Source organism: Homo sapiens, chromosome 2 (assembly GCF_000001405.40).
Source record: "Homo sapiens chromosome 2, GRCh38.p14 Primary Assembly".
Classification (NCBI taxonomy): Eukaryota; Metazoa; Chordata; class Mammalia; order Primates; family Hominidae; genus Homo; species Homo sapiens.
Window position 1 is genome coordinate 17,794,574 of NC_000002.12, and position 16,133 is coordinate 17,810,706.

The following is a 16,133-nucleotide window of genomic DNA, read 5'->3' on the forward strand; positions in this document are numbered from 1 at the left end:
CTTGGGAAAGTTTCTCTCTAGGAAGAATGGCTACGGATGCAGAAATCTTCCCTCCTTAGCACCCAGCATAGATTTTGGTGTGGATTGGGCTGCTCCTAAGAAAGCTGTTTTCTCAGTGATTCTCTGTCAACCATGCAGCTGGGGTTCCAGCATTCAGAACAACAGGGGTGGGAGGTAATGCTGGGCCTGTGGCTTCAAATCTTACCCAGCAAGCCCTGGCCAATTGTTCTTTATGGTACAACTCACAATCCATTTCTATTATAGCATTTTTCTTGACTGTCTGTCCATACTAACCTCATTCTTCTCTGAAAGGATACATACCCACATATAACTATTGTGAGACCAGACTGTTCCCGAATGGCATTTGAGTTGTGCCTTGGGGGACACCTTGACCTCCTACCTAAGGAAATTTTTCTGCATCCTGATATTCCCCATTCTGGAGCATATAGTTTACTTGCTAATGACAGTTACTAAAGATGCTTACCTGACATAATTTTGCTAGCATGCCAATTGGGGAGCAAGCACTCCTATTAGGAAGCACTCATCTTCATTATTAATCCCTTCTGTAGCTCAGCCTTTTTAGATCTAGATCTCTAAATCTTCCCATATCTATAGATCCTATATCTATAGAACTATATATCCTAGACCTATAGATCTAGACCTGTATCTCCATATCTTCTCACCAGTAAAATTTATGTGGGCACATACACCATTTTTGTTGCATGCCTGAAGCTCATTCCTGGTCTCTCTCACGCTGACTTCTCTTCTAGACAGTGAGCTCCCTGGCACAGGGACCTTGTCTGGTTCCCTGTGTGCCTCCAGCACATAATGGGGTTTCTGCTCCTGCGAAGAAGCTAGGTACCCTCTGCCGCAGTAAGAATGGCACTGAGTGATTGCACAACTCAAATTGAGCTCCAAGGCTGCACACAGGGCAGAAATGAGAGAGGGTAGGACGATGAGTTTGACCAGCATTGAAAAGGGAAACACCTTGGGAAGGAACAGCCTGTACTGGATCAGGTGCCAGGTAAGTAATCCCGGGGATCATAAACCTCTAAAGCAACTGCTCTCAAATGTAGCCTTCCTAGAACTCATCTGAAGACTCTGTTATAAAAACAAATTACTGGGTTCCACCCCACTGGATTCGGATTCAATGGTCTTTGGACCACACTTACAGAAACTCTGCTGTAGATGGGAGAGAGATGTAGAGAGCCGCAGAAGAAAAGGAGAAGAAAATAATGGTGTTTTTTGAGTATAGACTCACTCACCACACGCAGTCAGGATAACAAACTCTCTCCCCGTCTGTCCCCCTCTCTGTCATTCTTTCTTCCTCCTTTTAATACTGTAGTTATAAAAAGCTTTTGAAAGTATAAAAAGCTTTTGATCACTGTCCAGAGTGATCAAATATTCGCCCATGGCGAATTTTTTCTTTCACTTTTTTTTTTTTTTTTTTTTTTGGAGGTGGGGAATCAGTACTCCTGGCAGAGGCCTGTCACTTTGTATGCAGGAAGGGCCATTTAACAAGTAACTTAGGTGGTAACTGAGGAAACTACAAGCCTACAAAGTCCTTCTTGTTCTGCCTCCACAGGGGAAATGGCTGACCCACCTAGGAGCCCACGGCATGAGCTGTTTTTTCCCAAGCTCTGCATTTCAGGTGCTTCCTGCTCAGTGCTTCTCCTCAAAGAACATACAAGGACAGGAGGTACCATGGCTACCTGCAGCTGTGGATTATGGAAAGCCCACTGAGGCTGGCCTCTCAAGGCCCAAAGATGACCATTTGCACCCAGCATTTCCAAACACAGTTTCCCAGACTGGGATCAAATGAGCTATAAGACAATTGCTTGAAGAACTCTGGACGAGGATGTCTGGGCCTCACCCCAGTGACTCTTGGCTCATGAGATCTGAGACAAACGCAGGAATCTATACCAGGTAATGATGGGCAATTGGATTTGGAAACCAAATCCAATTGGAGGACAATAGCATCACAGAATCTGTTTGGGTCCTCCAGCCGGCTGAGGTCAAAATCCCCATCCTACATCCGGGTAAAAGGCCTCCAGGCCTTTTTCCTACAATCCTATATGTCAAGACCCAGTTCTGATGCCATTTTTTCCAGGAAATTTTTCAGGGTCTCCCATGTGAAATTATTTCTCCTTTCTTTCTCCTCCCACAGCATATTTTCAGTGTCTTTATAATACTTTATAGCATCACCCCTCTCCTCATATAACATTTATCCACCACCATTGTGGAATAGAAATATAATGCCAACTGATTCCTCAAGGATCTAGAACTAGAAATACCATTTGACCCAGCCATCCCATTACTGAGTATATACCCAAAGGATTATAAATCATGCTGCTATAAAGACACATGCACACGTATGTTTATTGTGGCACTATTCACAATAGCAAAGACTTGGAACCAACCCAAATGTCCATCAATGATAGACTGGATTAAGAAAATGTGGCACATGTACACCATGGAATACTATGCAGCCATTTAACAAAAAAAGGATGAGTTCATGTCCTTTGTAGGGACATGGATGAAGCTGGAAACCATCATTCTCAGCAAACTATCGCAAGGACAAAAAACCAAACACTGCATGTTCTCACTCATAGGTGGGAATTGAACAGTGAGAACACTTGGACACAGGAAGGGGAACATCACACACCGGGGCCTGTCGTGGGGTGGGGGAAAGGGGGAGGGATAGCATTAGGAGATATACCTAATGTAAATCATGAGTTAATGGGTGCAGCACACCAACATGGCACGTGTATACATATGTAACAAACCTGCACGTTGTGCACATGTACCCTAGAACTTAAAGTATAATAAAAAAAGAAATATAATGCCAACCATATATCTTTACTTTTCTGTTAGCCACACTTTAAAAAAAAAATAAACAGGTGAAATTAATTTCATACTATATTCGATTTAACACGATATTTCAAAATGTTATTTCAACATGTAATCAATACAAAAATCATGAGTGAGATATTTTATGTTTTTGTTTTGTTGTCTTTATTTCTTTTGAAATTTTTTTTCTTTTTATGTAGTTTTAAAATCTTTTTATGATATTTTACATTTTTTATTTCTACTAAGTTTTTGAGATCTAGTGTGTATTATACACTCGCATCACATCTCAGCCTTGAGACTTCATTTCACATGTTAAATCACCACACGTGGCCAGTGGATGCCATGTGGAAGAGCACAGTACTGGCTTTTGAGGTCATGTCTGTGACTTGGCTCTGGGTCCTCAGACTGAGCACAGTCCCTTCCAAAGAGTCTCCATTGGTGTTTTCGTTTGGCTAGCTATTTTAAAGCTCAGGATCTTAGGATATAAAAGTAGGGAAGAGATACATCAGTTTTAAGGAGGGTGAAGCTGTCTGGGCATGGTGGCTCATGCCTGTAATCCCAGCACTTTGGGAGGCTGAGGAGGATGGATCACCTGAGGTCAGGAGTTCGAGACCAGCCTGGCCAACATGGTGAAAGCCTGTCTCTATTAAAAATACAAAAATTAGCCGGGCGGTGGTGGCACATGCCTGTAGTCCCAACTACTCAGGAGGCTGAGACACAAGAACTGCTTGAACCTGGGAGACGGAGGTTGCAGTGAGCCGAGACCATGCCACTGCACTACAGCCTGGGTGATAGAGCGAGACTCTGTCTCAAAATAATAATAATAAAAAAATGGAGGGCAAAGCCATCCAGAGCAGGCTTCCTATGAGAGGAGTTGAGTGGGAAGATGTTCAGCACAGGACACTGCGGGGAGCAGAAAATGCCAATCAGGCCAAAGAGGCAGGTGCCTGCTACCTCCTTCATCCTGCATGGCAGGACTGGATGCTGTAGGCACAGGTAATGGTGGCTCTGAGCCACATGTTCTGCCTGCTTTATGCAGGTTGCCTTGAGCCACCTGGAGAATACTGGCTGCCAAAGGATTTGATTACGATGTAATGTGATCACTTAAATCTCTAAAAAACAGCTGCAGCCAGAATGTATTTTCAGCAAAGATGTCTTCTGAAAACAAGTTGTGCCATTTCACACTCTGGCCGAGGGTTCCCAGGAGAGTTCATTGATTAGCTTACCTCATCATTCAACCATAATTGGTTCAATTAGGAAAAAGGACGATCACTTTCGCCAACACAGAATTGCCTCCAAGATAGTGCCCACAGATGTAAGTTTCTCTGAGGTAGCTTTTCGGGAAACAGACATCTCCTGAGAAAACCTGAGTTTCAGCCCTGTTTCCTAGATCCTCTGAGGTCAAATAATCAGCATACAGAGCTGCAAGGACTAGAGTTTGGAACCCCCCAAGCTGGTTGTCACCAGCAGTGTAATGCTTTCCACCTCAACACCTAAGGAGGACCAAACCCTGGGTTGGACCATATCCATTCCCAGATGAAGCCCCAGGATATGGTGGCAGGAGCCCAGCCTTTGCAGAGGAACACTCTGTTTCCCAAATGCCAGCCCACCAATTCATTTGAAACGTTCATTATGCTACAACTCTTAACTTGGTTTATGCATGGCATTGTAGCAACCAGTTAAGGCATTTGGACCACCAGCGTGTGACCTGCAGCAAGTTATCTTACCTCTTTAAGCCTCAGGTTCTTCCACTGTAAAACATGGGTAACGTCAGTCCCTACCTCCTCGTGCTGTCCATTAAGCTGTGAGATAAAGTACTAATCAAAATGCATGGAAAGTACTCCACGTAACTTCGTAACTATTTCATAACTATAAGTTCATATCATAAAACAGGATAATTTAAATCAGAAAAGTGAGTTTAAAAAAGTAGAGAAAGAAAGATTCTCAAGCAAGTGGGTGCTGAATACACACACATACAGAGCCAGTGCTGGGCAGCTGAGGGTGATCAGCAGAAGGGCAGGTCCTCCTTCCTGTCCCTGCTTCTAGTCTAATTGAGGGGACTTTCCCATAGGAGGAAATCCTGTGTTGGGCTGTGCAGCACCAACTCTAAGCACAACAGAGGCCATCAAGACCACGAAGTGGTGACTGCTGGGAGTCAGAGTAGATCAGAAAAAACAATTAGGATTTGGAAAGGCAGTAGGATGGCACCACTCACCCTAGGCAGAAAACATACACCAGCCGAGACACCACAATGGGATGAGCAGCCTGTCTTCCAAGGAGGTGGAGAAGGCAAAGTCCAGACTGGAGGAAAGGGAAAGGTGGAGAAGGACCAGGAAGCTTTAGTGACAAGATGAATAACAAACATATCAATGAGAAAACAGGCCAAGGAGTCATCAGCAGGCACAGTCCCTACAGCATGAGAACAAAATGCTAAGCTCCATGAGGTACGTATTGTAGGGAAGGGAGGAGAGGAGAAGGGAGGGGAGGGGAGTGAGGGCATTGTCTCTGATCCTTTCGTCTGTCCTTAGCACAGACACTGCTAGTGTTGCCCAGCTCTGCCAGGAATACGCTTCTGGAGAGCCTATCACAAATGCTCTCACAAATTATTGAAAGGGCCGTGTAGCCCCCCAAAAGTCTTCATTTTTGAGAATGCCCTGGAAAGGCGAGTTGAGACACTTACCTTCTCTCTGCTTGGCTTTCTTACTTGTACCCACCAAGCCTAGCCTTCCTATAAGAAATCATTAGATTTTATCTTTAGAACATTTTGAGCTATGAGAAGAAAGAACATCGTGTCCATACATACAGGCACAGTCATTATCACAGGATTCCGTTTTCTCTGTTCTGTTTGAATCCATCTCCTGGCAACAGCTGTCCAGCTCCCTAAAGCCAGCAGCAGCTGCAATAATGAGCCAACCATTTATCTGAGTGTGTGGATGACAGTCACAGCTCCACGTGCAGCTGTTCTTTAAAGTCCACTGTCTTGTCCCTCCCTCGGGTCTAGACAACAAAGACAGCCATTCATTAAACTCCTCTGTTTCGAGTTTTAGGGAACCCCCTATGCCTTTTACCAGTGGTACGGTCTTTTAATGCTGCCACTTGCTGGTAGTTTTACCATAAGCAAGCACAAAAAACCTCCCTCTTTGAACTTTGGTTTTCTGAACTCTCCAGAGATAACAACCATTACCCACCTCATGAGACTGTTGTGATGCTCCAAAGATGTAATCGATATGATAATCTTTTACAAACTATATGACAGCATTCTTGTACTATTAATTATTAAGGTCCTTGTTTCTATGTTTAAAGTGAAAAAATTGCTAGAAAATATAGGACACTACAGTAAGCTTCTGTGGGCATCCAGATAATTGGTCACTGAGAACTGGAGGAGGCAGAGTGTTTCTGGAGAAAACAGTTGGCCCTGGCTTAGCGGGAGTGGTAGAATCTGAGAGGTCAAGGGAGAGGAAGGGACAGTTGAGTGAGGGACACAAGCCAGGCAAAGGCCAAGAAAAGAAAATGTGGTATATGGACAGTGTAGCATTATCCTGGAATCAGGCAGAGAATGGGCCTGGGGACCAGGAAGACATAAAGTTGGAAGAGTTGGGATAGGCCAGACCAGAAATAGTCTTAAATGGCAGGCAGAGAATTTATCAGGAGAGATTTTAGTAGTATGAAAAGTCAAGGAGTTATAAAAGTGTAACAATCACCTGGTCCTGCTCCCTGTATCTGTGGTTTTATCTCTGTTTAACAATCTAGACAAAGTGGCCAGCCCTGGGGGTGCTGTTGGCATCCTGCCACCCAGCTCAGTGCTCTTGTATCCTGGGAGGCCTTTGTTCTGTCCAAGTCATCAGTTCTTCACTAGAGACTATTAAAACTGCTGTTGCAAAATTATTACAGTGAAAGAGATCTGACCTAACCAACTCAACTCCATCTTGCTTCTAATCTCCAAGCTGTCCTTGTTCATTCCTGGACATAGGCCAAACTAACTTTGGGAGGAACTTAGTTTATAGTTTAACTTTGAAACAAAGACAATACTACTCCTTTCCTGAAACAAATCCCTTTCTTGACTGGGGACTAGACTGCCTTTGTAGGACCAAAAAGTTAGCCAAAAGATTCGAAATTATGGTTTAGGAGTCATGCAGCTGGAGGCTACAAGTTTCCGACCCTCCCCAAATTGGTCCCGAGAATAATATCGCTATTGTAAGACCTAAAATTAGTACTTGAGATATTTTGTAGACCCTGCACTTGATGGATCAGCTGGCACCACCCAGATTGATAAACTGGCTCATCTGATCTGTGGCCCCTACCCAGGAACTGACTGAGCGCAAGAGGACAGCTTCGACTCTCTCTGACTTCATCTCCCACCCAACCGATCAGTACTCCTGACTCACTGGCCCCTACCCACCAAATTATCCGTAACAACTCTGATCCCTGAATTCTGAGGAGACTGATTTGAGTGATAATAAAACTCTGGTCTCCCGCACTGCTGGTTCTGTGTGCATTACTCTTTCTCTATTGCAATTCCCCTGTCTTGATAAATGGGCTCTGTCTAGGCAGTGGGCAAGGTGAACCCTTGGGTGGTTACACTACCAGGCCCCAGCTCTGACTTTACCAAGTCAGAATCTCCAGGAGAGGAGCCTAGGAATCCTCTTTTTTTTTTTTTTGAGATGGAGTCTCGCTCTGTCTCCCAGGCTGGAGTGCAGTGGCAATATCTCGGCTCACTGCAACCTCCGCCTCTTGGGTTCAAGCAATTCTCTGCCTCAGCCTCCCGAGTAGCTGGGATTATAGGCACCCGCCACCCCACCTGGCTATTTTTTTTATTTTTAGTAGAAACGGGATTTCACCATCTTGCCTAGGGTGGTCTTGAACTCCTGACCTCGTGATCCACACGCCTCGGCCTCCCAAAGTGCTGGAATTACAGCCATGAGCCACTGCACCCGGCGGAACCGTCTTTTTAAAAATATGCTTTCCCTCTCCCCAGGTGATTCTTGATAGCAGGGAAGTGTGGGAATGCTGTGAATGTGAACTCTATGATTCCCTACAGCGAGAGGCTTATCCGTGGGCTTCATACCTGCTGGAGATGGAGGGTAACCACTCAGTCCACAAGGGGCTGAGCATAGTTCTTCAACTGCTCAGTAGCTACACTTCTGGGATGGAAAAGACTGGAACTTTTTTTCATGAAACAACATTTCCTCTCTTTCATCTTTCTTGTTGTCCTCCTCTGAGTCTCTTCTCCACTTCTTTCTACTCTTTGCAAATGAAACACGGAACTCCAACAAGGTCTCAGCAAACCTTATATCCTACCTGTCAATGTCCCAGTCATCTTTACAGGAGCACTTCCACCTGAAGCTCCTCCCTCCCTCCCTTCCTTCCTGCCTGCTTTTTTTTTTTTTTTAAATATTTAAATAAGTGTACTACCCATATGCTTTGATTCAACTTGAGAGCGCCTGTGATTCCTGAATCTTTTTCATTTGCACATGGACCTAATCAGGCCAGCCTTGACCATTCACTGGTTTTGAAATTCTAATTTTTAAATCAGTAATCTTTTTTAATTTAGAAAATACTGACAACTGTCAAGACGATAGCAACAATTGAGTACTGACAATGTCTGAGGGCAGTAGTATGACATTTCTTTATGTATATTGATCTTTACAACAATCTTGTAAAGTAGCTGTTGTTATTATCCCTTTATTTCAAGTAGAGGAACTGAGACATTAAGAAATGAAGTTACCTGCTTATAATCACTTAGTTAAGTAAGCAGAGAAGTCAAGGTTGGAGCCTAGGAACTCTGGCTCCTAACCACTAGAAGAAAGTAAGATGAATGAAGAAAAAAATACTCTCAATTCCTGTTACCAGAAGTAACCACTCTTAACACTTAGTCATATTTCTATGAGAAAGAATTTTCAATTGGATCAAAGTATTAATTTTATATGTCCTACTTAAAAGCCTTAATATTAAATTAAGCTTTGTATATTAAATGTTATTCATAATGATTTCTTTATCAACTATATAATATTTCATCATATGAATAGGAAATAATGTATGCAATTACCTCTTTGCTATTAGATATTTGTTTCTAATTTTTTACTGTAAGACTATGGCGAATATTTTTTATCCTAAATATTTGACTGTAACTTTGTTTAGTTGTATAAAGTCCTTGTGTCAAAAGTACTTTTGAATCTAAGATGAATTTTGGACTTTAAGTTACTTTAAAAATTGAACCAACTGACTCTCCCACAAGCAATGTGTGGGAAGGACCACTTCCTCATCCTCTTGCCAACTTTGCCAATTTGGGAGGTGAAAAACGGCCTTGCCTTGTCATTTCCATTTACATGTCTTTGATTACTACCGAGGTGAACATTTTCTTCTATGTTTATGAGCCACTTGTATTTCTTTTTCTGTGAGCTGTTTATTTATGCCCTTGTTCATTTTCCCAGTGGCAAGCTTGTATTTTTCTTATCTGTGTGAGTTCTTCATAGCAATAATGTTTTACCTGTCATGTTTGACTATCCCGTATCAAAAAACTGAAAAATATTTCCCCCAATTTCTTCTTTGCCTTATATCTGCTTTTTAGGTGTCAGTTAACTGGCAAGTATGGAAATCTGAATTGAAAACACTCAAAAGCAAAGGCTAAAGTTTGTGAAAATAAGCAGGTTCATTATGCAGACAACCATTTTTAGTATTCACTTTAATAACAGGACTTTTGTCATCACTGAAGAAAAATGAAGAAGTAATGTTGCACTTTTCTTCTTCTCAGGCTGGTAAGAACAGGGGAGAATCCTTGGAGAACAAACTCCGTGCAAATTGCTTTCAACTTTTTGACATGGGTATTAAAATGCCACCCCAAATACCAGTGGTAATAAAGAATCCAACTTAAAAGGGGGAGTAGGTGTAAATGTAACACATGAGATTTCATTTAAATCTTGCTGGCCAGTTGCTGAAGAATCCATGGAGAAGCACTCAAGGCTGCTACCCCTCCCGAGTTGGTGACAGAAAACTTGGCTATTTGGGGATAAATGTTGACATTCTGAGATTGCCGAATCAAGACAAGCTGCTCATATTTCCTTGCAATAAGAATAATCACAGCATCCTGCCCTGATGCTCTCCAGGGAGAATGAGCTTCTGTTCCTCTTTTTATTACCCTCTTCCTCTTCTCTTATGTTTCTTCACCCACACTTTGCAGTCCCCTCTCTGCCACCCTCCTATCTTCTGCATAACTGCCCATTGTGGGTGGACATGGTGACTGCATTTTGTTCCCAAATTAACATATTTAGTAATATTTTCAAAAGAGAAAGAGGTTTATATTCAGGTGCCAGGGACCCCGCAGGGACATGGCTGCCCCCAAATGGATTCTTTTTAGAGTAAACCACGCTGCCTTGGCTTCTGTGCACATTCATTTGGCAAAGAAAATTCACAAGGCATTTGACTGTGGAGCGAGCTGATGAGACAGGGTCCTGAGCCCAGACAGTGGAAGTGCTTGAGAAAGGGAGCATCCCAGGTGTTTGGGAGGGAGAATGCTGCTTTTCCTCATGACCACCTAGTGAAGGGGATGAAGAAAAACAAAACTTCTGGTCAGGCTGGAGAAGTCCACAAGACTCTGTTCTAAAGGATTTCTACAGTTTAGAACTCTTCTGTTTCTCACTTCTCCTGTGAATTAAGTTTAATTATTTTGTTGCCGTTTATTTGTCTGTTGCTTTGTCCTGCCCAAGGGTTAAATACCCAGCCTGTGAAAATCATCTGTTCACACATTGCATGATGCTCTACAATTTATTATTAAATGGATCAAAACCAAAATGTTACTCTTTGGCTTTACAATGAGCCATAAAGTCAAATCACGAGGCCCAACTACTTTTATTATTTCCTTAGCATAATGGCAGTCACATGAAAGTCACAGTCCCAAGAGCCTCACACAGGCTTTGCTGAAACTGTCACAGGCTTGACAGCACAGCAGCTCCAGGCCGCTATCCATGCAGGAGAGCACCACTTTCAGTTCTCTTTGCTAACTCAAGGACACAGGAAAATGTCACATTTCACTTAGTTGTTTTCTTCACACATACACACACACCTATATTCCCTTTGCCCCACAAGAATTATCTATTTTCTGGTGAATGTTAGCTGAGTGCCAAGACTGTGTGGCAGTGTGAAAGGGCCCAGGTTTTTAACTTTTTTTTTTTTTTTTTTTTTTTTGAGACAGAGTCTCACTCTGTTGCCCAGGCAGAGTGCAGTGGCATGATCTCGGCTTACTGCATCCTCCGCCTCCCATGTTAAAGAGATTCTCCTGCCTCGGCCTCCCAAGTAGCTGAGATTACAGGCGCTGGCCACTACACCCTGGCTAATTTTTGCATTTTTAGTAGAGACGGAATTTCACCATCTTGGCCAGGCTGGTCTTGAGCTCCTGACCTTCAGTGGTCCACGCATCTCGGCCTCCCAAAGTGCTGGGATCACAGGCATGAGCCACCACTCCTGGCCCAACTTATGTCTAACTGTACACACACAGGCTCTGTCCCATGACTGGAAGGCCAGGGCTGGGCTGGCCAGTGGAGTTCTGTATGGCTGTGGCTATAAGAAGGTACTATGGAGTGTACAAAAGTCAGGGGAGTGTGTAGAGCTCAGGGTGGGCAGGAGCCCCCACAGCAAAATACAGCTACTGAAATCAGGGTGCACAGAGCCAGCAGGGTCTGAGTGTCTCAGAGACAAGCAGTGAGGGCAGGGATGGGCGAGAGTACTGCAGCTGGCTCTCGGTGTGGCAGCTGCAGAGCCGATGGGTGTGGCTATGGTTTGGAAAGAAGCTGTGTCCCATGACCTTGGGCAAGGTCCTTAGCATCTGAGCTTTGCTTCTTCCCTTGTAAGATGATGATAATGCCTACCTAACTGGACTGTATGGAGGATGACATGAGTGAATGTATGCAAGGCCCTTATTTTTAGCTCCTAGCATAGAGTACGTGCTGTAAGTACTCAAAAAATGGAAAGTGTATTACTGTTATCAATATTAATATACAAAAGGATTTTATTTTTAAAAGAATGTTCTATATAAAGTGTTTAATTCTAGGAAAATATAATTAAATATCACCTTTACCTGCTGCTTGATAATAATAATAATGTGGCCTAAGGCCAGGGAAAGCACTAGAAGTGGTAGGGAATGACAGCTGCCTTCTATTCTGGAACTGCAAACCCAAAGATGTAAAGCAACTACAAACCTCACAATGAGGGGTCCTTCCAAAATCCTCGTTCACCTATCTCCTCTCTCGGAACATAACATCACTCGCTGAAGTCTTGTGATCCTGGGGTCAGACTGCCTAGGTCTAAATTGTGCTCTTCCACTTACAAATCTGGTCACTTGGGGTAACTTTTTTTTTTTAACTTCTATAAGCCTCAGTTTTTTCTTATTTAAGGTGGGAACAGAAGGCTGGGTATGGTGGTTCACACCTGTAATCCCGACACTTTGGGAGGCTGAGGTGGGTGGATCACTTGAGCTCATCAGTTTGAGACCAGCCTGGGCAACATGGTGAAACCTCATCTCTACAAAAAAAAAAAAAAAAGAAAAAGAAAAAAAATTAGCTGGGCATGGGGTCACATGCCTGTAGTTTCAGCTACTTGGGAGGTTGAGGTGGGAGGATGGCTTGACCCCAGGAGGTGGAGGTTGCAGTGAGCCGAGATCGTGCCACTGCACTCCAACCTGGGCAATAGAACCAGACCTTGTCTCAAAAAGAAAAAAAAATGAATAAAGAAAAGGAAAAAAAAAGTAAGATAGGAAAAGAAATAATATTTTTATAAGATTTAAATGGAGCACTTAGTAGCACTTAGTAGTAGAGACATTTATTATTATTATTGCTATCATAGCTGAGATAACTGTGGGGATGGCCAAGGAAGGCGGTGCCTCTAAAGATTACACTATTTCTCAGAAACAGCTTCATACATACAGCTTCACTGGAGAACCAATAGAACACTCAAACACCTTCCCCCAACACACACGAGCACACACAAACACAAATACACACACGGCACTCCTTCAAAACTATAAGAGTCAGGCCTGTTCGCTAACCAGGGCAATAAGTAGTTATGTGGACGCCTGTCATGTCCAACCAACCATCTAATTTAGGAATGATGATAGAAGTCTAAACCTACTTAATCTTTTTAGTACCTATAGGACCCAGGACTCTGGCTAATCTCAGGTGCTCTGTACACACTGGATACATGACTGAATGGGGCCAAGGAATCAATCAATCAATCTTTTAGGATTTACCAAGTCTCAGGTCAAGCCTGAGTTCCAGCTTCAACAGCTTTGCAGGGCCCATCGTGCAGATGCCTCCAACTGGTGGGTAAAAGCCTAGGCTCCAGTCAGCCTGCCTAGGCTCTCATCCTGGGGCCTTGGGCAAGTTACTTAACTCCTCTGTGCCTCAATTTCTTATCAGTAAAACAGGATTGGTGATGATAATAGCACCTACCCCTTAGGGTTGTTGTGAGGATGAATGTGGGTTCATCTGTGCTAAGCACCTGGAATATTACTGGTGCACTCTGCCTCTAGTCGTGCTCCACGGGTGATGATTAATTTTATGTGCCAACTTGCCTGGGCCACAGGATGCCCAAGTAGCTGGTTCTACATTATTTCCAGGTGTGTTTGCAAGGGTATTTTCAGGAGAGATTAGCATGTGAACTGGTAGACTGTGTAAAGTAGATACTGTGGGTGGGCATCATCCCCTCAGGGCTTGAAAAGAACAAGAAGACTGAGGAAAGTTGAGTGGTCTCTCTGCCTGACTCCTTAAGCTGGGACATCAATCTCCTGTCCTCAGTGGTTTTCAGTGCTCCTAGTTCTCCGGCCTTCAGATCTTGACTGGAATCTACACCATCTGTTGCCTCTCTGGCTCTCAGGCCTTTGAACAATACCACAGACTTTCCTGGGTATACAGCTTGCAGACAGCAGACTGTGGGACTTCACCTCTATTCATCCATCCATCCATCCATCCATCCATCCATCCATCCATCCATCCTATTGGTTCTGTTTCCCTGTGAACCCTGGAGAACCAATAGAACACTCAAACACCTTCCCCACAAACAAGCAGAGTGAGGCTCCAGTGCACTGCTGACCAAATCTCACCCTTGCGAACTCCCACCAGAAGCTCCTTGTCATCTCCAAGATAAAGTCCAAGTGTCTTATCATTGCAGACGAGGCTCTGCTTTTCAGCTTTACCTCCAATGTCTGCTCTTTGCCTTCACTTGACCTTGTGGAACATGGAACAGCTCTCAATTTCTTGCACAAATCGTGCATGCTCTATCAAGCCTTCAAGTAATGCCTAGAATGTTCTCTCCACCTTTCACCTAGAAAAAAAAAAAGCCCTGCTTTTTAAGGAGCATCTTTAAGAACAAATAGGAGTGTTAATTTAAAAACAGGTCTATAACAACCTGTAATACCAACACTTTGGGAGGCTGAGGCAAGAGAATTGCTTGAGCCAAGGAGTTCAAGATCAGCCTGGGCAACATGGCAAAACTCCATCCCTACAAAAAATACAAAAGTTAGCCAGGCATGGTGGTGTGCACCTGTAGTCCCAGCTATAAGGAGGCTGAGGTGGGAAAATCACTTGAGCCCAGGAGGTTGAGGCTGCAGTGACTCGTGATCACGCCACTGCATGCCACTGCACTGCACTCTAGCCTGGGTGACAGAACGAGACTCTGTCTCAAAACAAACAAACAAACAAACAAGCCTGTAGGAGTCATGTCTTTCAGAAAGCCTTCCAGATTTACTTTTGTGGCCTTCCACTGAGTGCCTGGTTTGTATGTTAAATATTTGTAAGATTTGACCCAGGTTTTGTCTGCCCCCAAGGTTGTCCTCTTGTCACCAATATCACTTTTTATCCATCCACCAATGTCTGGACAACAAGTGAAGTACTAAAGTGCTAACATTGTAAAAGAGACAAGTTAGTTACAGAGGGCTCCCAAGGCTGTCACATACAGTTGTGCAGATTGTGCCCTATGGTTAAATTTATCAAAGCATTTTTGACATTGTTTCATAAGTAGTTTATTTCTCTATTACCACCTTCAATACCCTGAGCAACTTGAAGACAAACGCTTTTTAATTTGACTTTCTGTCCTCAGCACCCAGTACAGTATTTGGCACCCAGCATGCGCCAAGTAAAAGCCCAAAGACCAAAGGACTAGTCATCTTCTGAGCTCCTGGCACCATGCTAAGAGATAGAAAAGCCATCATCTATATCTTTAAAGACGTTTCAATGTAGCTGATGGGAATAAGTCATATCCATGTGAACAGAGAACCAGAATATCAGGTGGTAAATATTAATGGCAAATGAATGGTGCCAAATCTAAGTGCTACTGATCAGAAAAGTGGGAAATTCCAAGGGCTGAGGCAGGCAGGGAAAGCTTCATGGAAGAGGCAAGATTGGAACCAAGCCTTGCATCTTGTACCTATTCCCAGTGATTACATTACATGTATGAAGCTGTTTTTGGGAAATAGTGTAGTAGAGTAGAATTTGAAATTATAATTATGTAGTACGGGGGGATTTGGAATTCACACAGACTTAGATCGCATTCTACTTTTCCCATCCTCTTGCTGTGTCTGCTGGGTCTCTTTCTGAACACAAATTTCTTCATCTTTAGGTTGTGGATTAGAACCTCTATCTTTCAAAATTGCTGCGAAAATTAAGATTAACTAATGAACCTGAAAGAGAAAAGTCTGGTTCTCAGCACATGGCAGGAATGCAATAAAGGTTCACCCTCATTTTAATTAGACTCCAGGGTTAGATTTCTTAGTTTATTGACCAAATTCTTATCTATGGAAGGCTTTTCTGAAGCATTATTAGGAGTTGGAATTCACTGGAGTCCTCCCTCTGACTCGAACAAATGGCCCATACAAACTACCTCATGTAGAACAGGGATCCAGGAGATCACAAGAGAAATAGACCCTCAACCTTGATGCTTCTCAAAGGTCTGAGACGGTCCTATTTCTCATGAGACAGGCTTTTAAAGGAGCATGAACCACCTTCCATGCTGATTTACCTGGTGTCATGTATCATGGCAAATGGCTGGGTTTGGAGCAGATAATTGCATTGGTGAAAGTATTTTTGTTAATCTTGGTAATATCAAAACATATCCCTATACTCTTTCATACTTTCCAAAGTCAAGTCTCAATTTTTTAATTTTTAAAAATGTCATAGCAACACAATATATAAGATTCCTAATTTTCACACAAGGAAACTGAGGTCCGCAAAGGTTGAATGACTCACTCAAATTTCCATAGTAAAGTAGAGGATTTGGGTGCCTTGAGTGACAGTTCCACA

At 43.2% G+C, this 16,133-nt stretch overlaps 1 long non-coding RNA gene across 3 annotated transcripts in view; it reads right to left on the reverse strand.

Annotated features, from left to right (window-relative positions):
* The window catches only part of LOC105373449 (uncharacterized), a 35,858-nt gene extending 30,117 nt beyond the window's left edge, over window positions 1–5,741 (reverse strand). The window contains exons 1-4 of one of the 3 annotated variants that reach the window (XR_939761.3): window positions 5,531–5,741; window positions 5,066–5,151; window positions 4,578–4,652; window positions 2,999–3,325 (exon numbers count right to left, since the gene is read on the reverse strand). This is a non-coding gene — a long non-coding RNA (uncharacterized LOC105373449). Of the gene's footprint in view, window positions 1–2,998; window positions 3,326–4,577; window positions 4,653–5,065; window positions 5,188–5,530 lie in introns of those variants that run through there. The other 2 variants (XR_939760.3, XR_939762.3) reach the window with 2 other exon arrangements.
* Between the last annotated feature and the right edge of the window lie 10,392 nt (window positions 5,742–16,133).